The sequence below is a fragment of the Homo sapiens genome, chromosome 8, assembly GCF_000001405.40.
Source record: "Homo sapiens chromosome 8, GRCh38.p14 Primary Assembly".
In the NCBI taxonomy this organism is placed as follows: Eukaryota; Metazoa; Chordata; class Mammalia; order Primates; family Hominidae; genus Homo; species Homo sapiens.
The window spans coordinates 115,422,948-115,450,197 of record NC_000008.11 but is presented as its reverse complement, the minus strand read 5'-3'; the positions used below and the strand labels follow the sequence as shown (position 1 = coordinate 115,450,197).

The window sequence follows — 27,250 nt, the reverse complement described above, 5'->3', positions numbered from 1 at the left end:
ATAACTTACTTAAATTTTTAATCAGGTTTTTGTAAGAAAACTCTGGAATAGTACTTCTCCTAATTCTCCGTTACACACAGCCTCATGGCTCTGCACAGGATGTGACTGTGTGTAGTTGCATCACGTTCCTATATACTCTAATTTGTTTATGCAAGAAATTCCCTCACTTTTTTCCTCTTCCAAGTATTTTCCTCTGTGTGTGTATGTCTGTGTGTGTGTGTGTGTGTGTGTGTGTGTGTGTTAAATCACATATTACTTTGGCATCTCCAAGAGAAGGCAACATGCATTTTAAAGTGTTATGTGTGAAGCTCAAAGTATTTCCTGTTATTTGGGAATGCTTCTGACCATTATTTCTCTTCCAGCAGTCTGATGGGAACCCAGCATTAATTATGTATGCCATTATTGGACTGATCAGGTTAAATAGCTAGTTGGTGTTTACCAATCTCATTTGAATATTAAACAGGCAGATAAGAAAACCTCACCTTAATATTATGCTCTTCATCTCTGTAGATTGTTACAAAAGGAATATGTTGCAGAGAATATGGAGAAGAAATCATGAAATTTTGGTGTGGGGCCAACAGACCTCTAGCTAGCTGCTGGATTAGTAAGAAAGCAGCTTTCTGCTGTCAGAATCAACATTACTCAGACAGTTGCAGAAGCTCTGAAGCCTTTGGATTTGTTTGCAATGAGAGATTTGTTGTGGATTTTTAACAAGGCTCCTGTGTGTGTGCCATGCTTAGTAAATATTGGCCTTCAGGGTATTTTTCAGTCACGCTGAATGGACTGTTAGTTTCCCCAAACTGCAAAGTGCAGAAAATCCATTTCCCTGATTTTGTTGCCATTGAGATTGCATCATAGGTTTTGCACAGCAAAAGCAAAATAAAATCTAGCAAAAATCTTTTTTTTTAGAGAACTGGAAAAGTGATCAGGAAAAAGAAAGATATCTGTGATTGCATATACAAATGGACCTAGAATAGAGAAGTTCTTAATAGTTAAGTTGTAACTTAAAATTATTTCAGCTAAAGTAACTGAAATATTTTCCTTTCTTTATAACAGAGGAAATTAGTCATATTGTAATAATTGTGACTAATATAATCAAATAATGACCTTTTCAAATATTATAATAGGTTAGATCCTTCTTTTAAATCAACAAATATTATTTTTAAAAAGGAAATTCATTAGAAAGTAGAATATATGTGGTTCCAAGTGTTTTTCCTACAGCAAAGGGGTCTGTATTGACAGTTACGTTGAATCAGGATTGCTTGACATTATTAACAATTAATATTTAAAACTCACTTTCAAAAGATGATCGACGAAGTTTTATATTTGGCCTCTAAGAAGGAGTTTCAGGAGACATTATGATTTTGTCAAGGGCAAACTAATAACATCAAATATCCAGGAGTCAGAGTTTTGTTATAGTTGTTTAATGGTGATGGTCCGAAAAATAAAGTTGTCTAGTAGAATTAGTATGCTTATACTTTTTAAGTTATTTTAGAAAATGGTCAGTTCCTATAGAACATACTTGAAATGAGTGACCAGCCTCTCAAAGTTGTGATAAAGTGAGAGATGAATGCATTTCAAGTGCATTGTCTATCTCGGAATTAGAGACACCTATTTGAGGATGGAGTTTGGGAACCCTTCTGTGGCCTGCGTTTTTGACCAAAGGCCTAAAGCATGAAAGAATAGCCGGAAAGAGAGCTCTTTTCCATATGTTGTCCATTTGGCTGTCAGCACTCGTTCTGACAGAAAAGAACAGAGTCTTGAGTGACTGCTAGTCTCTCTTAAAGTATGGTAATGAGGCTAATTAGGAGAGATGAGAGCTGAACTACATTTGTGAAGGCAATTATCCATATAGCTTTTGTGCCATGCTGTATCTTTGTAAGATTCCTCTTCTCGAATTTTGTCATTTCTCAAACATCACAAGAATAATGAAAATGTCTAAAACAATACGAGCAATGTGGTCAGTAGAAAAGAATAAATTACTAATGAAATTCTGTGAACCTGATGTCTGTTTGCAGTCTTCCTGAACAAAGATTTGGAGGATGGCTAAGATAATACTCACAAGTGTTGTTGTTGTTGTTTAGTTTACAAAAATGAAAATTATTTGCACTTTATTATATTGAATCTATATATCTTCTTTGGTATGTGAACAGGATTTTGCATGGTCCTTTTATGTTAGTCATCATGGCAAGTCAGTAATTTAGTATAATTGAAAGGAAAAGACATCAGAGGCTTACTAAGCAAGCATAAAATGTATTCTCTTTTATGTGATTTAGAAAGTTGAGACATTTTCATTTCTATTTTCAAAGGTTTAATGCACTTTAACTTTCACAACAGTTATGAAAGTAAAAGAATGGACCTAGATCTCTGTACAGTGATTTCATAGTAGGTGACACTGAACATAAGTTTTGGGTTTTTTTAAGTATTTAATCACAAAAGTTAACAGTTAAAATACTTGTATTTTTTAATCTGCTGAATTATTTTTGAATGGTATTGCTGACATTTCATATTATATATATATAAAAATATGACATTCTAAAAGCATCAAACTCTTTCTAAAGTGTAACTGAAGTTTTTTCCTCCAAAAAGAAACTAGGCTGATTTAATTCAATAGGAATACCAACTGGATTTGGTTGGTAATTGTTTGTACTCACATTTACATCTGGACATAATGTTTTATTGTTTTTAAGTCTATTATAACTTTTATATCTTATATCTTTTGCTCAAAAGCTCATTAGCCTATAAGCTTCTAAAACACATAAAGGAGATAATTTTTATTTTTGTTTTGTAGGATTAAAGAAAAAATCAAATTAAGTGACACATAGGTGGAAAATCTGTCTGAATTGCTTAACAGTGTTCTTACATATGAAATTTTATTACTTTTAAATACATTCAGTAGCAAATTTGAGCAACTCCGCTTTGTCTCTTGTTTCAATCACATGACTAAGCTCCTTTGGAGCAAGGATAGGGCAAAGGTATAGTCAGTAGCTTTGATAAAGAAGATGTAGCAGAACCCAGAAGGCCATAGTACAGCTGGAGCTAAAAGACTGGAAGTGACTCTCAAACTTGAGCATGTCTGAGACTCACTACAGGAGACCCTGCTAAAAATGGCTAAAAATACAGGTTCCTGGAACTTATAACTATAGTGATTCTGATTCACCGGGTCTTGGAGTAGGGCAAAAGAAACATATTTGTAAACAAGTACTCCTGGGTTATTCTGATGAGGGTGGCATATGGGTCACCCTCACCTTTGAAAAACAGTATTGTAGACCAGGAAATGTGTCATCCCAAATATCATCATATTAGAACAAGGCTAAGCACTGAAAACTGCTAAGGAGACTCAACTAGAAACATAAAAAGACGTCAGAATAGAGCAGAAAGGAAGTCTGAATTGGTGACTCCAATTGAATAATGCCCAATGTATAAGTCAGTCTGTCAGATTTTGTAATCCCCATAACTTTTCTGGGTTCATGATTGTTATCTATAAATTCTTTAGCTCTAACATTCGAGGATTCTAGAATAGCCATGGATAGAGCGAGAATGCATGGTAGACTGTAATCAGGAAGATGTGCCTATCAGGGATGGAAAAATACAAGTGATCAGAAACCAGGCCAAGAGTGGAGAACTAAGAATTTTAGAGGAACAACAAGCAGGAAACTAAATTGATGCAAGATTCTTGCTCCTAACTGAAGCAGCCTTCTGCCTCAGGCCCAGGTCACTTTTGGTGGTTGTTTTGAAACAGGAACCAATCTCAATACTAGACAAGGTCCTGCAGGTGGAAGCAGGTAATTGGAAGCAGCTGGTGCAGGTGAAAAGTGTGAGATCAGGGGAAGAAACAGTTTTTGGGTTGGTTTTTTTTTTTTTGTCTGACAGGAAAAAAAAATATTTTTTTGATGGTGGAAGCGAAGAGTAATAAATAGAAGTAATACATACACAGCACATTCCTTTTTATGTAGATGATGTTTCAAAAAGCTTGAAAACACTTATCTGAGTGTTTTAAATGTTTCTGCTGGAAACATCCTTACATTTTGAATGAACTCTACAAAGAAACACTTTGCAAAGTCAAAACAAACAGCAGTCCATATAGCCGTACCTGCCTTATCATGAAATCTAAATGTGTGCAAGCCAAAATGGTGCATTTCACAGTCCTTTTATCCAAACTCAGACTTAAAAAGTGATCAGTGTTCGAAAGGGGGAAAAAAGAGTTATACAGGAAAGAATTGAATTTACTGGGAAAAAAACTTCATAATAAATATATTCATCATATATTTAAGTATACTTCTATAAATGTGTCCTGCAGAAATTTTGACGGGCGTGTTACATTTTATGTTAAAACCCTTATGCATTGATATTTATAGGTAAGTTTTTTTACATTGCTGTGACAGTACAACAATAAGGTATTACCTTAGTAATTTTTCGTTGCCTACTCTATCTCACCTTCTGCGATTTTAGCCTTTTATTAAAGCCATGTCTTGAAAGAAAATGAAAGAAAATTGTCTTCAAGTTAGTGTGCCTGTTTTTCTTAAATTTATATATTGAGTCATTTAATTCTTCTCATTTTGTTAGTGAACAAAGTTTTTTTAGGCAATTAAGAGTCATAGTTTCCTGCCTCTCCGAATTTGCGATCTCATACAGTAACAAACACTTGTTTTACCTCATTGACTCTTTTGTTTCCTCAAGTGAAAGAGGAATTGGGGTATAATTTAGTTTTAACATCTCTGGACCAACTTAAAAAGGAATGTAACTCAAGATGTATGGTAAGAATAGTGAAATTCTTCAACAGAACTCACTAAAGAAAGGTTTTGGGGATGTTGCAGAAAATGATAAGTAGGAAGACAGCATAAAAGGTTTAGCTGACGAGGTAGGCTTGGAAAGCATAGTAGACATAAAGCAAGTTGCCTGAAGCTTCTTAAGAAGAAGCCCTGGAAACAAAATTGTAGCATATAAAGTTTCATGGAACGTGGAGTCTTGAGCTGAGCTGTGAAGTTTACACAGGTTTCTGACAGTTGAGAGGAGGGGAGAGAAGAATGTATGAAGTGCACTGAGCTGGGAGTGTATGAGGTCTGTTTGAGGGAACTTAGAATAAACTAGTTTGACTGGGAGGGTTCAGAGAAGGGTGATGGGTAATTGAGGAATCTAGGTTATGAAGAGCCTTATGAATGTGGCACAAAGGATTTTGGAATTTATCCACTGAGTTGTGAAAAGATGAAAGTTATAAACGAAGACATGATATAATTAGGTTGTCTTCAGAAATTTAACCTAGAAATGATATCATTGGTGGATTGGAAAACAAAGACACAAGTGCAAGGAGCTATCCCCTCATAGAAGGAAAACCTCAATACTAGAAACAATCTACAGGACTTGGTGACTAATTGGATATGGTGGAGGAAGTTGGTGCCAATTTCAGGATGGTGGAGTCACACTGAATGATGAAAAGGGGAAGAAAATCATCTTTGTTGGAAAATACCATTTAAAAAAATTGTTGAGTTTTGAGATGATGAGACACAATTCATTTTATTAATTGAGGACTGATGATTTGAAAGACATACTGGGGAGACTCCCCCAAAAAAGGGTGCTCTTTGCCCTCTAGAAGCTCATAGGTTAGTGGGAGATATAGTCAAGTTTATAAACATTGTAGAAAAAGGTATACTTTGAAAATGTTAGAACTACCAATAAAATGAAATGAACAGATTGAAGACAGACAGAGATATCTTGAGGAGCTAAAAGAAGTACTTTGACCTGGACCTAAAAAGATGGATAGGAAGAACGTACATCAGTTGGATTCACTCTTCATTTATTTATTTAACGAAAATGTATTGAGCACCTGTTCTATTGTATGTACCATGTTGGACACCAGACATGATGGTAAGAAATCACATTCCTTATCAGAGCACCTGTTCTATTGTATGTACCATGTTGGACACCAGACATGATGGTAAGAAATCACATTCCTTATCAGAGCACCTGTTCTATTGTATGTACCATGTTGGACACCAGACATGATGGTAAGAAATCACATTCCTTATAAAAACTGGCAAGTACACAGTCTTTGTAGCTGGCATGTGATCCCATGTAGAGGGATCAAAGGGGTAAGGATGGGGGACCTTAGTGGAAGATAAGATGCTAATGATAAACTACATGGCGAAGGAGTGAGAGCCCTAGGTTGCTTTTCTCTAAATAATGGGGATCTTTAAATGTTTGGGGAGAGGTGAGATCTTCATTTTAGATCTATATTGAATACATTGTAAATCTATGTTTTTAGAAAGGTGACAAAATACTCAAGTTGAAGTATTTGTTTATAGATATATTAGACACTGAGATACATTTTATATGCTCATCCAAATGTTGGTGTCAGCCAGTCACAGGAGGTGTGGGATTGCTGAGTTTGAGTTTGAGGAAAGGATGGATTTCTGAAATGGAACGATCATAACCAATATTTATTGAGTACTTAATGTTATCCAATCACTGAATTAATTCCTTTAGTCCTCACCCCAGCCTGCTAGGTGGATGTCATTATTATATGCTTATACAGATGAAGACATTGCATTGAGGAGAGTCTAATCAACCTGCCCAAGGTCACATGGCTAGTTAGTGTCATAGGCAGGATTTGAACCCAGACCAGCAGGCTCCACTACCTCCAGACTACCAAGGCAGTAAAGACAGAAAGGCTTAGGATAATTAATATCAAAGGACTTGAAGGTTATTTTAGCAAAATTAATGCTGATGAGAACCGAGCAGATTGTGCAAATGTCAAGGCCAAGAGGTTTGTGGAGTGAGGAATACACCTTCTAAAGGAGGCAGTCACAGGCACCTCAGCTATGTCTTGCCATGTGAGAAAATGAACCTAGTAATATGAGACATTATAACTGTCAACAAAACCTAGAAAGTATAGATTTTTATGTCAAATCACCCACTTCTTTTCTTTTCAAGGAGACAGTCTCACTCTGTCACCCAGGCTGGAGTGCAGTGGCATGATGTCAGCTCACTGCAGCCTTTGCCTTCTGGGTTCAAGCGATTGTCCTGCCTCAGCCTCCCAAGTAGCTGGGACTACAGGAATATGCCACCACGTCCAGCTATTTTTTTTTCCTTTTTCTTTTTTTTTGAGATGGAGTCTCGCTCTGTCACACAGGCTGGAGTGCAGTGGCAAGATCTCGGCTCGCTGCAAGCTCCGCCTCCCAAGTTCACGCCATTCTCCTGCCTCAGCCTCTCTGGCAGCTGGGACTACAGGCGCCCGCCACCACGTCCGGCTAATTTTTTTTGTATTTTTTTTAGTAGAGATGGGTTTTCACCGTGTTAGCCAGGATGATCTCGATCTCCTGACGTCGTGATCCACCCGCCCCAGTCTCCCAAAGTGCTGGGATTACCGGCGTGAGCCACCGCGCCTGGCCTTTTTTTTTTAGTAGAGACAGGGTTTCACCATGTTGGTCAGGCTGGTCTCAAACTCCTGACTTCAAATGATCCGCCCGCCTCAGCATCCCAAAGTGCTGGAATTACAGGCGTGAGCCCCTGCGCCCAGTCAAATCACCCAATTTTTAAATGTTGATAACTTAAATTCTCATTTTGCACTATGCTGTGTAACCCCTTCCTTCCCCCAAACACACACATGCACACACACATACACACACACACACACACACACACACACACGCACCATACTTGGATGCTTGCTACCCAGATATGGACCTCTGTTCGCCAGCAAGAAGAAAGTATGTATGTACATTATATATGTATTAGTGCAGCCCCCTATTTATTGCCATAGACAGAATTAGAGAATTTTCCAAAGTAGTATCAACCTCACTGCAGTTTCCAATTTTAGGTGACAATTCATGCTTACCTTTCTTCCATATTCCTGCAAGCAAAAATAGAAAATTAAATGTATTTTTTCCTTCAGAAAATCAGTGGGTAAAAGTGTTTGTTGTGGCCCACACTGTGTCATGTACTTAGAGAAGTTGGCTGTTTCTATAATACCAGCGAATCTATATATGACATTCAAAGTCCATTCTCCAAGGACTCCTAAATATCTACATGCACTACATCATGTAGACTAAATAATGAACTTTACAACAATAATTTTTACTCAGTTTTACCCAGAAAAGCTAAAGTATCAGGGATCCAACATTCTTAAGCTTTGTGAACCATGGTGAGAAACCCCTGTATTTGTGAAGAAGTTTTGTAATAATAAAAAACTATAAAGTTATGCTGGTGCTTCAAAGGGAATAACATCAAAAACTTGTGGAGAAAAGCCAGAGGCTACCATCCCACCTCCAACCTGCACACACACACACACACACACACACACTCTCTCTCTCTCTCTCTCTCTCTCTCTCTCTCACTCTCAATTGGGAGACCTATCATGGTAGAATAAAGTCTGGTTCACCAAAAAAGAGGGATAATGAGGCCATTTTTCATTATTTTCCCAGTGGATTCTAAAATAGTTACCTCATAAAATAAATAGTTTAAGTTTCCACATTACTTTTTGCCTTTAATCTGTGCCTGCGATGCAAATAAATGAGTGGAGATTTTTATACTCCCAAAGGTTTATGTAGAGGCAAATATATTACAAAATGAACACCTAAACTAAGCATGATTTCTTACTAAAACAGCATCTTACAGAATGCTGTGGTTGACGGAAGGGAGACACTTTAGGAAAAGGAATCTACAAAAAGATTTAATTTTATACTCATTGTTCAAGTATATGCTACTCTTCCCGATCTTGTCTTCTCTAGATTAAATTTAAATGGAAAACTTTCAGAACTGAACTGAGCCTAGCCAAGTACAGAAATATGTATTTCGTATGTGAGCTCCTATGGAAAGGATGCACCAAAACTGTTTTTGATGTGAGTAGAGTAAGGTGTTAAGAGCGCCGTAAGTTTTATAAAATTAAAAACCCATGTGCTAAAACTAGAAATAGTTTATTGTCCTTGTTTAAGAGGCAACTGAATTAACCTAGTTATCTGGCTAATAAACATAAATAGTCCACCTTAGTGAAGCTCTAATTACAGCCTCTGAACCTTTCGGTGTATTTACAACTTAAAACATCTGAGTGATTCTGCCTTTTGAAAGCTATGTGAAGTTAGAAAGGCGGCCTAATTAAAACAAATCTTGAATAAACCACTTCATGGAGATAGAAGTTTGATGGTTGGATATATCAAAAATTGTTACCAGATGTTGTTCAGAGGCCTTAACAGTTTAAAGATCATGAGGTTTTTTTTTAGCAAAGCAAAAATATTCTAATTGAAGTTGTCAGCAGGAGTGAGACTAATATGCCTGTATTTGATTAAATAATAGTTTATTTAACATTCAGTGTGGCCCAAAATTGGCCAAAAGTCGGAAAACATTTTAGCCAGCAGACTTCAAAAGAAAAACGCAACAAAATGACAGTACTATCTAGGTAACTTTCAGGCATTGTGGTTTGATAATGTCAGTTTTCATCCTGCTTCCCATTCTTCATGTCTTACTGTATATACTCTGCAAATGCCTTTGAATCTTTATTCTGTAATGTATTTTGTATTTTATAAAAAGAAAGGAGAGCAACACAAACTTATTATAAGACTTATTGCTGAAACCTTGGCAAGGAAACACCAGGACATTTTCCATTATAGAAATGTAAACATCTATATTTTTAGGAGTTAGATATTTTACAGAGGCTGCTGTCCTTTCACTGGGACATGAGGATATTAGCTGTATCAAAAAGAAGAATGTAAGACCCACATGGTCCTGTTACAACTTACAGGCACCTTTTCCTGATGACATGAGAGGAGCACATAACTACTTCCTTCCCATTCAGTGTACAGCTGTGTGCTGCTCTCAGATGAAATGCAAGAATTCCCTTTGAAGAACAGGGAGGCTTGTCTCAGCCAGTCGGTCTTCCTATTGGCGTGAGCCTCTCTCTCCTTACATTTTCTACTTCTCAGGCATGCACCTAGCCATTAACTCCCGAATGATGTGGCAATACCTTGGTTCTTCCAGAATAAGTTTTTCAGACTTTTCTTGGACTTGGTGTACGTAAAAATTTAAGAAATCGCCCACATAGATGACTAGGAAATAAATGCATTTTAAAAAATGAATTTTCATCATTGTGACCAATTCCCAAGCTAGCGTTTGCTTTCCGTAGTACACAGAGGTCTGGATTTTTAAACTAAATTGCAGCAAACTCTGTGGCAATTATGAGAGGACAACTGCACTAGAGGGCCATTAATCATTTAAACATTCAAATAAAACTCAATGTTTCTTTTTAGATCTAAAGTGCAGCCCATAACACAATTGAAATAACATTAATAGAAGAAGGGAATGAAAAGACAGAAAACAGCTGTTGCTGTCTCTGCAATGTGCCATGGGCTCTAATCAGAGAGTGAGACACTGTATACAGTAAAGGAGAGGATTCTTGTTGATTCAATTCATTTTCTACCATCCTGAGCTTTCTCGGTTTAAAGGAAGTTAGGGTGATGTTCTTGCATGTCATAACACTGCATTTCTGGATATTCAGCAGAAGGGACAAACGGCTGGAAGGTTTAGTTTTACAGCTGTTCCAGAACAGTATTTAAAAGTTGCTTGTTAGCTGCAAAGTGCTAATAATAATGTAAACAGGGTACAAAATGTCCCCTGTGGCTAATGAGGAAAAACTGTGCTCTTTAAATGTAACTTTTTCACTATTAAAATAAATTTTAGTTTTACCAGTGATTTACTTTAAAAATAAACTTTGTAAAAACCTGAAGAACATTACATAGTTAACCACATTTGTCCTAGAGGATAGTATGGAAAATAACTTACAGCCTGGTTGAAAAACTAATGACTTCATAATGACTTTGCTTTATTTGTCTCTGCCATGTCCACTAGCTCAATGTCTGTCCATGTAATCCTCTTTTAAATCCCTTGACTTTGTAACATGATTTTTACTTCCATGTCAGTTTCACAAGCTCTAACTGTTATCCTTTTAGCATCACTGTAAACGACAGTGCAGAGATCATACCGCCCCTTTTCTAAAGCAGGTGTAAATAAATGAAAGAAAGAATCAATTAGCTTGTTCTAGTCAAAAAATAGTCCCAGGTAGGACCACACTAGAGTGTAGGTCTCTAAACTCCCAGCCCCACTGCACTTCTCACTGTGCTATGCCAGGAAGTGAAAATCACAGCAAATCACTATCTTGTAAGAATTACCGCCACTACCCCATGTCCCAGGGATAGAACAGGTGAGTAGACTCCACACTGGTTTATAGAAAAATGCATGACTGAAGCCAGCAAGGTCCTCGTCATCTATGATCCTCAGGTGCTTTATTTTCGCAGCCTAGCAAAAGGAATAAATCTAATGCTTGCTTTACTGTGAATTTACAATTTTCCTTAGAATTTCAGTGTATAGTGACTGGAACTTAGGCAGTCTGTAAATGATAAATGGAAAAAGAATGAAACAAAGCAGAAAAGGGGAATGGAACAAGGGAGGGAGAGGGAGAAGGAAGGCAGGAGGGGCAGGGAGAGGGAGGGAGGCAGAAAATGTAAATCTCAAAGCCGATGAGGTTACTATAGACCATCTGGAGAAAGATGAATTATTCTTTAAATCCTAGATCTAGAAGAGATATTAGAGATCATTTGTTGTTTATGCTCTCTGATTTCCCCCTCCCTGTATCTAAATATATAAAGAAAGAAGGAGGAAACTAGGTTACTGAACACCAACCATGTGACTGGCAGAGGTAGAGGCATTCTATGTGCTTCATATTCATGACCCTTCATCATGATTGACCAGTTGCTCTTCTTTTATTTTCCTCTGAAGCAGAACCTAGAAAATGACTTTATTAGAGCACCTATCAGGTCTTTGCTTATGTGGCTTCCCTGATAATTGCTGAGCAACTTGAGACCTTGGGTCATGTCTTTTACCATTGTGTGCCTAGTTATGCCTTTTACAGGTAGAGCATCCAACATGGTGCTGGGCCCAGGGCAGATACTCAATGAATGGCATTTAAAATGAATGAAAGAATACATGAATTACAGGTAAATATCACAGGGTTGTCTCATTTAGTGTGCCATGGCCTTGATGCTTATGCAGTCCTGTGCCTATAAAACTATATGGTACTAGGTTTACATGCTTTAGGGAGTAAGTGAACCTTGCAGTTTCCTATTTTTTTAAATTTGACTCTTGTGTATGTGTTGATGGTATTGACTTGCTTTCATTTAAATGTAGAAAAAAAATGCCATGTTTTGGTATTTTAGCCTTAATAACCTCATAAAACACATATGAGATTCGCTTGCTAGATTATAAGATGCCTTTGGTTTATAGAGGAAAATAAAACTCCTGGCTTTTCTTTTCTGGAGAAAGAATATAGAAAGTAGTCTCACGATCTCTATGACTCCGACCTGTATCCCAGACAAACCAAAACAGGAGTACACCAACTCCTTAAGGATGTGAAGACAGCAAGAGTTGACATTAATAGTAAATTTAATATTTACAATAAATATGAGATAGGGCTAGACATAGTACTGGAAATGGTACCTTTCCCCTGCCCCCCCAATCCTATTTAGCTACTTCATATAAAAGATGGCAAAAACTTCCTTCTTGTTCGTGTAGACATTCAGCCTTTCTAGAAGACAAGGATGACACTTTTGTCAATTATTTATTTTTTGACGTATGTGCCAATGGGAACAATTATTAGCCTATTAAATACTTTTTGATATTTGACCCAGGATAGTAAATACATGCATTCAGAAAAGAATCCAATGCTACCTTTGTCATCATTGTGACAACTGAAGAGCTCTAGTGGCCTTTCAAGTACAGATAAACTTTCAGGAGGATTCTCCTATGAGCTGGCCACAAGGGCTTTTATTGTGAACCTTCCAGCATATCCTGTATGCTCATTGTGAACTAAGGAAATGGCAGTGATGGCATCTCAAATAGTGGACCATGGCACCCGTCATGGGGGTATCCCTGCTTTTTGTGCCCATTAAAGGTTTGCCAAGTTCTTCTAAACAGACTCTTCAGCAGTATAGTGACCATTATACTACTTCCTCATAGTGTGGCTTTTGTAAAAAACTAAAAGAAAATGTCCTGGATTGATTTTGTCAAAACAGTTACATGAGAAGTGTAGATAATGATGGACTCTTTCAAGGATTATTCAAACCAAAGTAAATACTAGATGGCACGGATGGACTACTCAAATGTGGTCAGCAGTACTATCCAATGCTCTACTTATAAAAGACTCCTCTTTTGGACAGATAACTTGTAGAAGACTGAAAAGAAATATGTATACGTCTGTATCTATGAAATGTATTGACTTTTTTTTTATTTTTTACTGCTTTACTTCTGGTACCATTCCTTTATTTTGTCTTAAGAATCTACACTCCTTCATTTTTAGTTCATCTAGTTCAGGTGAAGCTGATTTTGCCCTAGATTCAAAGCCAAATTGTGTGCCTTACATTCTTGTTACTCAAACTGGGAGCTTACTAGACATGCCAGATCTGAGATCCTATCCCAGATCAATAAATAAAAATCTGCATTTTGACAAGATCCCAGGGTAATTTGTAACACAGATGAGAGTTTGAGAAACTTAGCCAAGTGCAGTGGTACACGCCCATAGTCCAGCTACTCAGGAAGCTGAGGCAGGAGGATCTCTTGAGACCAGGAGTTCAAGGCTAGCCTGGGCAGCACAGAAGACTCCTGTCTCTAAAACAATAATAATAAGTTTTAGAAACTGCTGTACACCAGAGCCAGTGTGGGAATTCTATTCACCTGGCCATGGTGGGGCAGGGACATGACCCAAGTTTGCCCAACAAGACCCTATTTGAGGACATTGGTTTGACCTCTCAAGAAAGTGCACTTAGTATTTTCCACGTGACTTGTTTAAAAGAGCATAAAATACTAGATATGTGGCCATTTTACCATCCGGGCCTGTCTGACTGAGACTGGGGTCTGTGTAGAGGAAGCATACTCCAGAGGAAGAAAAATGGTGCTCTCAGGGTATCACTTGAATCCCGGCCAAAATATGCCTAAAGTCAGAGTTTTTCCCAGATTTTCAGTTGCATGAGTCAGAAGATTTCCTTCATAGTCATACAATGTGAGTTGTATTTTCTGCCACACACAACTGAAGAAAAATAAAAGATAGAGTTATGAGTAATGATTAAAGGCTTATTTGAGTCTCACCACCTATTTGCATGGGCTCCTTAGCTGAATGTGTGTGTGTGTGTGTGTGTGTGTGTGTGTGTGTGTGTGTGTGTGATTTCTCATTTGTTGTAGCATTTAGAAGTATAAGAATCAAAAAAAATCCTAGTATCGAGACATGTCTGCTTTCTTGCATCGTTCTCTTAATTGCTTCATGTATATTTACCTTACTTCCCCTCAAAATTATAAACACTTCAAAGGCACTGGACTTTTCTTCCATGAGGCGATAATTTAAAGTAATAAGACGTTTATAAATAAACATACCAGAACTTATATCAAGTGAGTGTAGATTTTCAAAACCACCACCTGAGGAAGCTGCTAATTTATTCTGGTTTTGCTGACTTTGGAAAGAACATTGTAGTAACTCTCTAGAATAATGATCAGCACTAGTTTCTAAGCCCTGAGATCACACCAGTGCTTTGTTAGTTACATCTGATTTTTACTTAAAGTGACACTACAGGGAATCAATTGAACCCAGTCAGATCACTTCAATTCCCATGAACCAGCCCACCGTGAGTCCCCTATGGATCCTGCCAGCCCCGAGTACCCCACCTCTTCCCTGAGGACCTCGTGGGAACTGCTGCCATCCAGCAGTAAAGGGATAGCATGTGCCTCATGGGGAGTCTTTAGAATCCTCTTCCTTCACTGCAGCCAGCACTGGTTCTGATTTCGATCAGTCACTCATGCCATATTAATGGTTATGTATTTCATTATCACCCTTGGGTGCTACCAAGGTTGTTCTGCCACCTTATTCATCAACATTACTCTGATTAAGTTTGCCTCTTTCCAGAAATGCGATTGACATCCAGGAAAGTAGATCTTCTATTACTGTGAGAACTTCAGTAGCTAGCTAGATAGATAGGTCAATAAATTGATTGATGGAGAATATAATAACTATTTTGAATATAAACCACTGAGAAGCTTTAGAAGTAGAAACATAAGTATAAACTCGGAGGCCTTGTCATCTTTGTTTAATAGAAACTGATTAGCACTTGTATTAAATGCTGTTAATAGATCAATAATTTATAATAAATAAGTAAATAAGAGCACATTTCTTATGTTCTTCGATGTGTTATAGTGATGAAAGGTTTTGGATTTTGTGGGAAGCAGACTCTTTTCCTAAGAGAGAAGAGGAGGCAGAGTTTATAAGTAAGGTAGTAAATCCCTAAAGGATAAAACTCTTCCTTATTGATTAAATATCAGGCATTTGGGTTATAAGTTTATTCCTTTCCTGTCTGCTACCTTTAAAAGCCAAGAACATTTCGACAGGTTATAAGCATTCAAAGAAATAGAGGGGCAGAGAATGCTATGCATTTGTTGCTACGGAAAATCTAAATCAACTTAGAAGGCAGCTAAAAGAAACCAATGTTTATGGCTAGGACCAAAATGCATTTTAACTGTAATTCCAAGGGCGAATCACACCAATATTGCCAAGTTAAAAATGACTATTTCTCTAATAAAAGGAATTCCAATCATTTAAACCATGAACTCAATTATATTTTCTGAATATTGATTTTAATCAATTTTATGAACCTTAAGTGATAAAGGTAACTTTTTATAAAATGTAAGGATATTGCTGTTGTTACAGTAATTTGGTATGAATGATGCTGTTAGACTATTAAAGTAAAACCTCTTTGCTAATATTCAGGGATTATGTTACAATAACATATTGCATAGCACAATAAAGTTAATAGCATGGATCAACTTCCAGAAGTCTCTCTGTTTTAAATGAATATTGTTTTCAGAATGTATTTGTTTTGAAATATGAATTTCAGATCTATAAATATAAGGCCAAGTATTTTAATAATTGTTATTATATCTCAGACTACCAATAGATGTTACATTCTACGTAAAATATTTGTCTAACTTTTGTATTAAGTCAAACCATTTGTAATCACCTATGTAAAATACATGTTTATGTATATACATACACACCAAGGTAGTCTGAATGGATATCCTGGGCTAATTATCATGCAGCGTATGGCCTTTTGCATATTCACTTATTAACAGCAGTAGAAAGCTTAGTGTGATACAATAATCATTTTTAAATAATCCTAAATCTACTCAGGTGAAAAGATTCTGACAGCAGGCGCTTTAAACAGCTGCCCTGAGCAAAATAGACACTGCTTTCTTTTAAAGTTGAAAAGGAGAAAGGTAACAATTATCCCAGAGACACTGGAAACAAAGTTGTCTGATTTTTCCCCGGCAAATGCCTCCACCTCTTGTAAAAAGAACAGTGTATTTGAGATGTTGGAAAATGGTGGACCCATCAGAAGCAGTCATCAGATAAACAGATAATTAATGTATTAAGAGTGTAATTGAAATTAACAATGGCTTTCATATGTACGTTTAGTACTGTGCTACAATTTATTACTTGTCTGAAGTACTTTCTTGCATTATAAGTCAAGAAGCCTTGTGGAGCCAAAGTAGGATAATAACAATTAAACATAACTACCTCTACAAGATTAAACTTGATACTGAATTGAGTAGCGGTAGAAATCATGACTTAAACATTTGTTTTCTCCCTTTGTACTTCATTTATAAATTCAGTACTGCTTTTACCATTAAGAGAGAATTCTGAATAAAACCATAATTCAGATTAAATCAAACTAAATATTATTTAGTTGCAATACTAAATATTATCTATTTATCTAAAGATATTTTTAGGATATATTAAAATTCCCAATATGCCTGCAAGTTTTTGTGTTCTGTAAGAAACTTAGAGAATTTTTCCCTTGAAATTGACTATCTTAATCCTGATTTATGTTTTTTTTCAAAAGTAAAAACCTGGAAAGGGCCTTACTAACAGGCCGAACATTTTGCAGTTTCCAATGGGTATATAATGGCATCCACTCTGTGATTGGGAGTTTAAAAATCAGAACATTCAAATATTCTGATCCCGATTGCTTTCCCATTTGAATAATCGTACCTCTTTATATTAACAAACTTTATGGTGATATTTTCAAATTCTTTCTATATCACTTCTTAACTGGCCACAAATGTTTGTAATACTTGAGTGTCTTCTCTGAGTTTCAAAATGACTTGCTCAGATAGGAACTCACATTATTTTTCCATTTCTGATTCCTCCCTTCCCCCACTTTTACCAAAGAATACACATGCGTTAGTAAATTCAGCCTATTTTCATCATTAAGAAAAAAAAAAAGTCAAGTTCAAGAAAGAATAGCACAGCTGTTCACAATGTCATATCTTATAAAACAAATCTATTAGGAAGGTCAAATCCTGAAAGAGGTCAAGTTAATGAGATAAGTGGAGTAATTTGGTCATTTTCTGAAATTTGTAAACTTACACAAATCTATTTTTTTATCCTGCACTACATTTTTATCCTGCACTAGATTGACTAACTAAACCTCTGCTAATGGTGATTTTCTACTTCTTTAAAAGTTATTACTTTTATATAGCAGGCACACTTTTCTGTACCTAAATGTTTTTAATGTGAATTGAGTTCAATGTTAGTTTGATACTAATCAGTCCATTCTGTTTATTTTTGAATTACTGCTTTCATTTGGAATGCATTTAAAAAATAAATTTAAAAAAATACAAATATGAATAAAAATTATATGTCTGTATTCACACACACATTTGGTGTATGTGTGTATATCTACACAAGTTAATTAAATAAAATTGTGGACTTTTAAATAAAATTATAGATAAAATAAATTGTAAACAATTGGTGGAAAGAGGATGGCCTATGTAAAATCTAGCCACCTTACATTTCTTTCAAAGAGTACAAACATTTTGAAGCACGTAGTAACTGCACGTGTTTTAAAATTATGCATAAATAAATTCTTCGTTTAATCCTACTGCTGGGTCCTTGAAGTGTCATTGATTTACTGATTCTGCCATTATATTTTTATATTTATTTTATTTACAGAAAAAATTATCTAAGTCAGATATAACTCCTTATCTTGGGAGAGAAGTATGACTTCCATTTTTTTCAAGTTGACATTTTAAAAGATAAGAGCATTAGCCTCTGAATTTTTTAAATATATTAAACTAGAGGACCTTGAAGCTACTTTTTTTGAAAAGCTAAGGAATATATGTGTATATGCCTATACATATTATAAATGTATGTTTGTGTGTGTATTAACTATAAATGCATGCATATATATTTATAAAGTAGCCAATGTTAGTCAAATTCCAAATGGAATAAAATTTATGGATATAAATGTGCAGCTACCACCCAAAATTTGCTCAAAATTAGCAAAGTTTCTATGTCTGGGTCTGTATAAACCCAAGTGAGTCAACTTTATTTATAATCTAGGAATCAAATATCTATTTTTATATTTTGTGCGTGTAATCTATGTGGCTACACTATATGAAAGAAGAAAGCTACCTGCAGCTAGAAATAAGTAATAAAACATGCATGAGGGAATGTGATCTACAATGTGTTCCTTTATGTTCTAGAAAGGACCCTGATTTCCTTCCTCAAATTTCAACTTAGTTTGTGTGTGAGAAATATGTATCTTTAAAATGGAGGAAGTCACCACCAGAGTTATGTAATGTAATCCTTAAAGATCTTTTAGAATGCAGTCAAAAGGAGAGAATAGGAAAGAAAGAGAGGAGAGATGTATTCATATATTTTTAAATGTGTCATTGATGTAATAAACTCTTTAAAAGACAGTTTCTTATATAAGGGAGTTTTAGGGTCACCATTAATACATTTTCTCATGTTGTAAAAATAAATATGAGGCGCTTTGTATAAGTTTTGTGCATATGCACATTAACATAGATATTGAGTTATACACTTGTATATAAGTGCCAAAAGTGTATTCAGTTTTCAATATCTTTAAAATCTAATGTCTATTGAATTATTCAATCTCTTCTGAAATTAAGAGAGAAAGAAAAAATTTAATGATCTCTGAATGCCTCATATATGTCAAACATGACATTCCATAGTCTCACATACATCATTATGTTTATGTTAACTGAGTATGTATGTGAATTGAGAGAACTCCAACATAGTAATAAAAATAAGTTGGCAATAAAAATTAATCATAAGTTATCAGTGTCTTATTTTCCTCCTACTAAAGTAAATAATTATAAGGCTGACATTTACAGCATTCTCCTAGGTACTCTATTGCTTCATTTTTTTTTCAGTTTTTTAATATAAAATTAACATATAACCAATTATATTTATTCTCCACTATGTAAGAAACTCATGGAATTTCTTGACAACATTGTTGGTGTTTTAATCCCACTTATAAAATATGATATTGCTTTAATGAAAATAAAGACAACTAGTGATGTCTCACTACATGGTAGTGCTGAAAATGATTCCATTCATTTACGTGAGTGTATGTATGTATATATGTTTGTATGTACATGTATATACATAACCAACGTATGCCATTTCTACACATTTTGCAAATTGCTCATTAGCTCAGACAAGCAGGGACTGTTCCTTTCCTCTCCTCTCCTGGGCCTAAACATGGCCCAGAATTTATTAATTTTCTTTTGCATTTCACAAAAGTGAAACTGTTTTCAATCTAAGTTCTAGTTTCTGTAACAATGGCTGTCCTTCATATTTCATGAATAAAGGTATGCTTAAAGCATAATGCTTGTATGTGTACACACACACACACACACACACTCCAAAGTGGCAGTAGCATCTCTTCTGCTAGAGGTCAATTCAATTAAGCTATCACTAATTAAATGCCCACTATATGCAAAGCACTGATAATATAAAGATTAAAGGAAAAAGTAGGTCCTTCTTCAAGAGCCTCCTTTCCCCTGTGTGACTTGCACATGAAAATAATTGGAATCCAGCAGTCTGTCTCCTATACCTATACAGAGAAAGTAGGACTATTTTGTGATTTAAGACAATTCAAGATATGAAAAGCCGAGGCAAAACTAACATTCGAATGCTCCAACAGTTAAGTTTGTACCTTGTCACAAAGTTCCTCTTATGATGAAGAGTAGTTTTGATACATTTGGGGTAAATTTGTAAATGTGAAATAGCAAAGGGTAAGTCACAACTAAGCATTTTTGTTTGCTTTTCATTTTTTGTATGTGTTTTAAATTTCAGCTACACTATGAATCCTTTTTCAAAATATCTTTAAGAGCTTGGTAATTTTTTTCTTTTCCTTTAAAAAATCTATATTACTTCACAATAGGGAGAAATGACATTTCTTTAACACAGATCACTTTAAAAAATAATTGTGGGTAATTTCTTGCTATAATTTATTTACGTCTTTTGCCGAGATTGTGTGACCAATTCAGTGTGTTCATCTAGAGGAAAAATAATGCCAACAGAAAAAGAATATAAACATAAGGCAGGGGAAAATAAAGTTGTTGAAAAGTTAGTGTTATATTTTCAGAGCCCTTCTCATGAAATAAAATCTCACTCACCAGGAGTTTTGTGTCTCAAGTTGGGCTGCCAGGTCTCGGTTTTGGTTTCCTGATATTCTGCTCGATGTACAAAATGTCAAAGTGAGAAACAGCTTTAACTGTTCCTTTTGGTACGGATGACTGAGGGGCACTCTCCAGAATGCTTGATGCGATGAGGTAGTTCTTACTTTGGTATGCGATATAGTGTGATTAATAAACTCCAGATCACAGAGAGAGCCGGGTGCGAGTAAGGCTCGTATGAGTGCAGTTTCCTACCCAAGACAATGTATTACCTTGAGCTAATCTGGTGGTACTGAAGAGAGAATTTTTACGTATGTATACATAACAAAGACAATCACTGCTTTCTTCTTGAGCAGCTGCAGCCAGTCCCACTAATGGACGTGCAAAAGCAAAAACTGGCAGCATAAGGTATGTGTTCGTTTTTACAGATGGTACTGCAGACAAGTTGGTAATTGAAAAGGAAGTCGTGTACGTGAGCTATTTGACGGGGCAGGGAGTAGGGACAGCCTATTATAGGACTTTCCTGTGTAATTGACTGGGTGAGTTATTGAAGAGGTAGTTTTCCCGTGAAAGATTTCAGTTATTACAAAATTACATCATTATTGTTAAGGAAATTCATAATTCCACTTCGTCTTTTAAAAATCATGTTATTAAAACTTTAGAAATCAGCTCAGTTTCCCTGCCTGCACAGTACCTCTATCATGAAATTATCTGCTCATGGTCGGTTTCACCAATAGTGGTCACAGAGCTCTTATTTAAAGACAAATCTTTCATTTGAATAATGACATAACATTAAGTGCTTGTTTTAATCATTGGAAAGGTGTCCGTAAATACCTATGATTTTACCCGTCCTGAGGACATACAAAATTGAATTAAATGAGAGAGAATATTTTTAATGATTTATAGTGTCAAAAATAAATGAAATTCAGGTTCATTTTTTTTTAGTCTCCCACTGCCCCATTCCCCGTGTTTCTAAAAGTCAGACAGAATTGCGTGGTCCCAGAGGTATTCCCGAGATAGTCTGTGAAGTATTTAATCCAAATTGCATATTTGGTGTCAGGCTCTTTTTGTGGACACATTCATAGTTTGTCATTAACTCTTTTAACTGTTTTGAACCTCTGTATATTTAACTCATGTATTCCCGTATGTTTTTGTTGTTTACATTAAAATAAGCAGTGGTTGCCATCTTTCTGCTGAGCAGACTCAAGGCTGCGTTTTAACATCTGACTTGTACTGAATACTCTCAATTGGATAGCCTATAAAAAATGTTTAGAGTTAGGAGTATTTTTGTCATTACTCTTCTGTGATGAAATGCAAAAGTATATCACATATGAGAAGTATAATAGTAAGCTTCATAGATAGATGAAGAACATGAAGTTTTATATATAATAGTGGGGGAGTTTTTAAGCAGACATTATTTAAAATATTTTTATATTATCTGATTCTTGAGGAATTTGGTAAAATAACCTCACCTTTCAGAACTGCCAGTAATTTATCTTGAATAAAAATGATACCAAATATCACAAAAGGTCTCTGCCTTGGAACATACACATATATAAAAGAAATCTAGTAAATTGTTACCTGAACATGTGTGTTTACAGAGCATGTCAAAACCCCAGCACCATTTTTCTTGCCCCAACTCTAGCCAAGTCTTCTGCAAAAGCAAAGAGAGACTTTCATTCACAGCTAACCTCCCATGTAGCAGGCGCTATGAGAGGCTAAGTCAGTGGTGTCACCAACTTCTGCTTTTAAGCAGCGGCCTGTTTCACATACTTTTTTTATTTTTTTTGACACAGCAGGATCAAAACACATGTACTGCACCCCTCCCCCCTCCCCAGCACTGCCCCCTCCATCAGCCAAGTGCTCTGTTCCTCTGGCTATGACTGTGTCTGTCGACCTCAAAACAGCTCGTTGCCATATCTGATGAAGGATGACTCATTTCTTTCTGGTACCTCAAAACTTGCATAATTTCAATCAGCTGTTATTGGGTGGTTTGAAGAGATAAGCGTTCTTTAAGGCCAGGATATGGTGTAATATTTTTGGTAAAAATTCCCCAATCTCCTCTTTAGTAATAAGGCCTGAAACATGGTTCACTGTGGCTTTGAAGTGAGGGCAACCTGGGTTTATATCTTAGCCCTACTATTCAGCAGTTGCAAATTGCTTCTAAGCCTCAGTTTTCTCATCTATAAAGTGGAGGGAATAATAATAATAATGATAATAATACTTGCCTCTTAGGATCATTCTGAGGATATCAGATAATGAGACTAGGCCTATCATATGTTATCCTGCAAACATATGTGCAATGATGATTATTTAAAAAGGGACAAAGATAGTCAAACAAGAGTATTCTATTAAATAGTTGATTCAAAAATTCTTTTTTATTTAATTAATTTTCTATTTATCTATTTTAGAGACAGTGTCTCGCTCTGTTGCCCAGGCTGGAGTACAGTGACATGATTATAGCTCACTACAGTCTAGAACCCCTGGGCTCAAACCATCCTCTCTCCTCAGCCTCCAGAGTAGCTCAGATTATAGATGCATACCACCACACCCAACTAATTTTTTTTTTAACTTTTTGTAGAGACACGTTCTTGCTGTGTTTGCCTTGGTTGATCTCAAGCTCCTAGCCTCAAGCAATCCTCCCACCTTGACCTCCCAAAGCACTGGGATTACAGGCATGAGCTACCACGCCTGGCCAAAAATGCTTTTTAGAATATGATCCTGTCATATTGCCTAGACTTAGAGACCAGAATGTGTTCTTTGATGCTAGATAAGTCAAAGAACTATTGTCAGTTTTGTACTTCATCAATAAAAGGAGAGTAATAGTAATTAGTAATTCACCGTAAATCTGAACTGGGATAATATGTGTTAGGAGTTCTTAACCTTGGGATCTGGATCAGTCGGCACTCAAATCCACAGGAAATCTTTGGATACATTTTGTGAGGGACATGCTTTTGACCATGTTAAAGTTATTTGTAAATATTTTACACTTTATTTTTTTCTGGAGAGTGTCATACATTTCACCAAAAGATTGTATGATCCCCAAGAGTGTGAGAAACCATCGAGGAACCACTGAATTGTATATAGCTGCCTCGAGGGTGGCAACACTTCATAAACCAGTTATTATGTTAGATACTATGAAAAGAATTATTGATTTTTTTTCTGTTTTTTCCCAAAATAACCATTATATATTATAAAGGCAGCCCTAAAAAGGTGTAATACATGAAATATTAATAACTGTATCTGACTCTCTAATTAAATGCCTAGAAGCTGAGACTTTTGGCTTTTAGGACTTTTCTAGAAAGGTCTTCATCGCTGATATTTTTATTTTTAGAATATGAACCTATCCCAGAATAAATCTGCTTATTAAATATATTATATAAATAAAATATGCAACAAATTTATTAGAAGAATCAACTCTTGTGCTGTCACACTGAAGTTTAAGAGGTGCTAAAATTGTTTAACTGTGCCTCCAAAAGGCCTTTTAGTATTTTTTTCCTTCCAGTGTCAGATTTTGGCACTGGCATAGAAGAAAGTCCCCATAGAGCTACTTTCCAGCCATTGTTGTAGCTGAAGGAAGGGTGAAAACACATACAGGATGGCAAAAATAGAAGCTCTGAGAGACTTGAGTAGTTCTTTTAACAATAATGACTTTCACGTGGAATGAAAAAAAAGACAGTGCAGACATAAATTTTCAACCATATTTTTAGCTGTCCAAATGCATATTTGCTGTAAAGGCAGAACATTATTACAGAAACAGCGTGGTTAGAACTCCAGAAATCTGGGTTTTTCCAATTCTGATTCTATTATGTAATTTCATTATGACACAGGGTGTTTGGTTTGCTCCTTTACCAAATACAGGGTTAGCTACCAAATATGGGGTTAGTTAAAGAAGGGAGATGGGGTCCTCAGATCTGTGTAATAGGTTTTATATCTGTGTGATAAATTTCTAAAACCTTGAGATGTAAAGAATCTGTATGAATAAAGAGTGGGATATACATGGGGAAATAGTGATTTTCTGCTCTTTCACTCTGAGAATCACCAGTTACATCTCAGAAGAGATGGAGCTAATGTGTTTAGCACAGCAGCATTACCTGATATATCGGGTAGCTCCCTATGTGGCGACATTGTCAGTGGGATAAGTCTTAGGTGCATTCATATCTCAGTGCAAGGTATGATTACTGGAGTATGTATTGCCTCATGTCCTGGAACAAAAACTGTTCTATTGCTCTTAGCCAGAGATGCCAGTTTAGTTTACACTGGTCTCCATTATCATTGCTGATGTGTTGAGGAAGTGAATTTAATAAGCAGGGTAAACAGGTTTTGTTTCCAAGCTCTATGGTGATTATAAGATGGGTGCTTGGCTGAACCTGATAGAGTCCCTTCAGTTTTTTGGCAAGAAATCTGAGGGCAAAGAGGACTGTTTTAAAGCAGGCAAAGACATGCAGTACAGCCCATTTCAACGGATTCTTCACAATTTTATTTGAAACAAAAGTTGGCCAGGATATTGGTAAACTATTGCTTTCTGTTGGCAGAGTGCTTTCCCTGGTCTTGTTCAATTGTTGGCCAGCCTGTGCTCCTGGTAAGAGTCTGGCTATTAATCTAAAGGTGTTTATTGCAAACCACCATCTATTTTTAAGTTGTTTTAGCTCCTGAATTCAGTATATTCCATAGGGTCTACTGGTGTGTAGTCAACAGCTGGTTAATTCTATTTTGGAGGGGAAGAGGGGAGGGACATGGCCTTCGATGTCTCCTAGTGGCGCATGATAGAGATAAGAATAAAATAATATTCAACACTTATTGAATTATGGAATATCAACAATTATTGAATATCAACTACATATCTGACAGTCATGAACACATTAAGTCATGTCAACTCTATTGGTAATTAATAGAACAATGTGATTGATAGGACATTATTACTAATGTGAAAATAAGCAAGTATTAATTTGTTTCTGAAGTGACTTAAACTGTTACACGTTTTTACAAAGGAGCACAGGAAGTAACCCCTCTGATTATTAGGTAACTTTTAGCCTCTAAATGAGATTTATGAATGGGCAATACTTTGGTATCTTCAGGAAAGTTTCCACGTAATTCACATGATTTCAGCTGTCAATGTTCATGAACAATTTCTGTTTGTGTTGCTTTAGCTCCATAATTAGTATGTTTTTAGAAGATTCCACTGGAAAATCTGCAAGATTACAGACCATGTTTGTCTCACGCTGTGACCCTGGCTTGTAGCACAGTGCCAGGCACATGGTGGACACGCAATAATTACTCCCAGAACTTAATTGACTTAATTTACCACTGAAATTGTATTACTGTGAAATCGTACCAGAAGCTTTGCTCATAACCATCTATGCATTTCGCTAACATGAATGTTGCAAAGACTTTTTGATATAATCAGATAAACACAGAAAATATTTAAAGAGTTAAAAATATTTGAGGTATATTCATACTAACATTATATAAATCAGATTTCAGATTGATTCGATTTAAAATGGCTAAGATATAAAACCATAAAAAATGTGAGTAAATATTCTGCCTATCAGGGCTTGTTATGTAATTACATGGTTTCAGTATGGTTCTTATTCATAGAAAATTATTGTAAAAGATCATTTCTTCACAAATTCCTTCACCAATGGAAACCTTTAATATCTTGAAGATGAATATCCATGTCTGTAAATGTTAAGCCACTTTAATAAATCATTCAATCAAATTTACTTCATATTAATCAGATGAAATCAGTTCCTTTTCAAAATTTGGAGATTTGGAAACCTTAAAATTTTTATATTTGGCTGGTCTTCAAATAATAAAATAAAATAAGGAATAAAAACAGCCGACCCAATTTAAAATTTAAAAAAAAATGTCTTAAGTCATATCTGGGTTTCCTAACATGTATGCCAAGGCTCAGCTATTTATCAATGTTATATAGCTGACTGAAGATTTAAGTCTCCCAAAAGCAAAACTTAAATTGGAAACTTAGAGAAAATTTCAACTATTGTTACCCGCATGTTGGTGTTAGCCGTGAACCTAAAGACAAAAGGTGTTGTGTTTTGTTTGTTTGTTTGTTTGTTTTAAATACTTAGTCATTATACTTATTGGTTTACTCTAAAGGGGAGGAAAAAATTACACTGGATTTAAAGGGTATTCATATTAAAAGTTAGGTATGTCATTTTCTATATCTATTTGGATGATTGTTCAGATCCATCACCTACATTGCTGCTGTGAAAATCAGTATTGTGGCTATAATATTTGAAATACCGAAAGGGATCAAGTGCTCAAAAGACAGGCCAGTTATCACTGAAAAGCATTTGCCAGGCAATCACTGGCTTCGAAACTCCTTGCAGTTAACTGTTTGTACCATTATTCATCCTTTTTCACATAGGAAATTACCAGCCAACGGAAATGGCCTGGAGACAACACAAATGCAACCTAAATTGTACTGCTCAAAGCATTAAAAGAAAAGCAAACAATCATTTTCTCGAATTGTTGATTCCAGAATTTTTTCTGTAGCAATTTTTAGTTGAGCTGCCTCATGTAGCTTTGGGTTTTCAGCCAATCCTCCTTCACTCTTGCCCTCTGTTCAAACCACGTAGATGTGGAAGGTGAACTTAGAGAAGTTCAGGGGCAGAGATTGCAGCTACTCTTTGCGGCTTTACATGTGTGAGTGAGCAGTCTTCCCTCAGTCTGAGAGGAGAGAAAGTTTTGTGCTATATATGCCCCTCAGGAATGCCAA

The 27,250-nt window shown here is 35.9% G+C and overlaps 1 protein-coding gene across 4 annotated transcripts in view, besides 1 other annotated feature; it reads left to right on the top strand.

Annotated features, from left to right (window-relative positions):
- TRPS1 (transcriptional repressor GATA binding 1) overlaps window positions 1–27,250 on the top strand; it is a 260,480-nt gene that overhangs the window by 218,778 nt on the left and 14,452 nt on the right. The gene's annotated exons all lie outside the window — the stretch shown is intronic.
- Window positions 22,300–22,349: an enhancer, noted in NCBI's record as "active region_27820". NCBI's record gives its function as "activates an Ori minimal core promoter by ATAC-STARR-seq in GM12878 lymphoblastoid cells {active_cell/tissue: GM12878}" and the evidence as "EXISTENCE:reporter gene assay evidence [ECO:0000049][PMID:35858748]".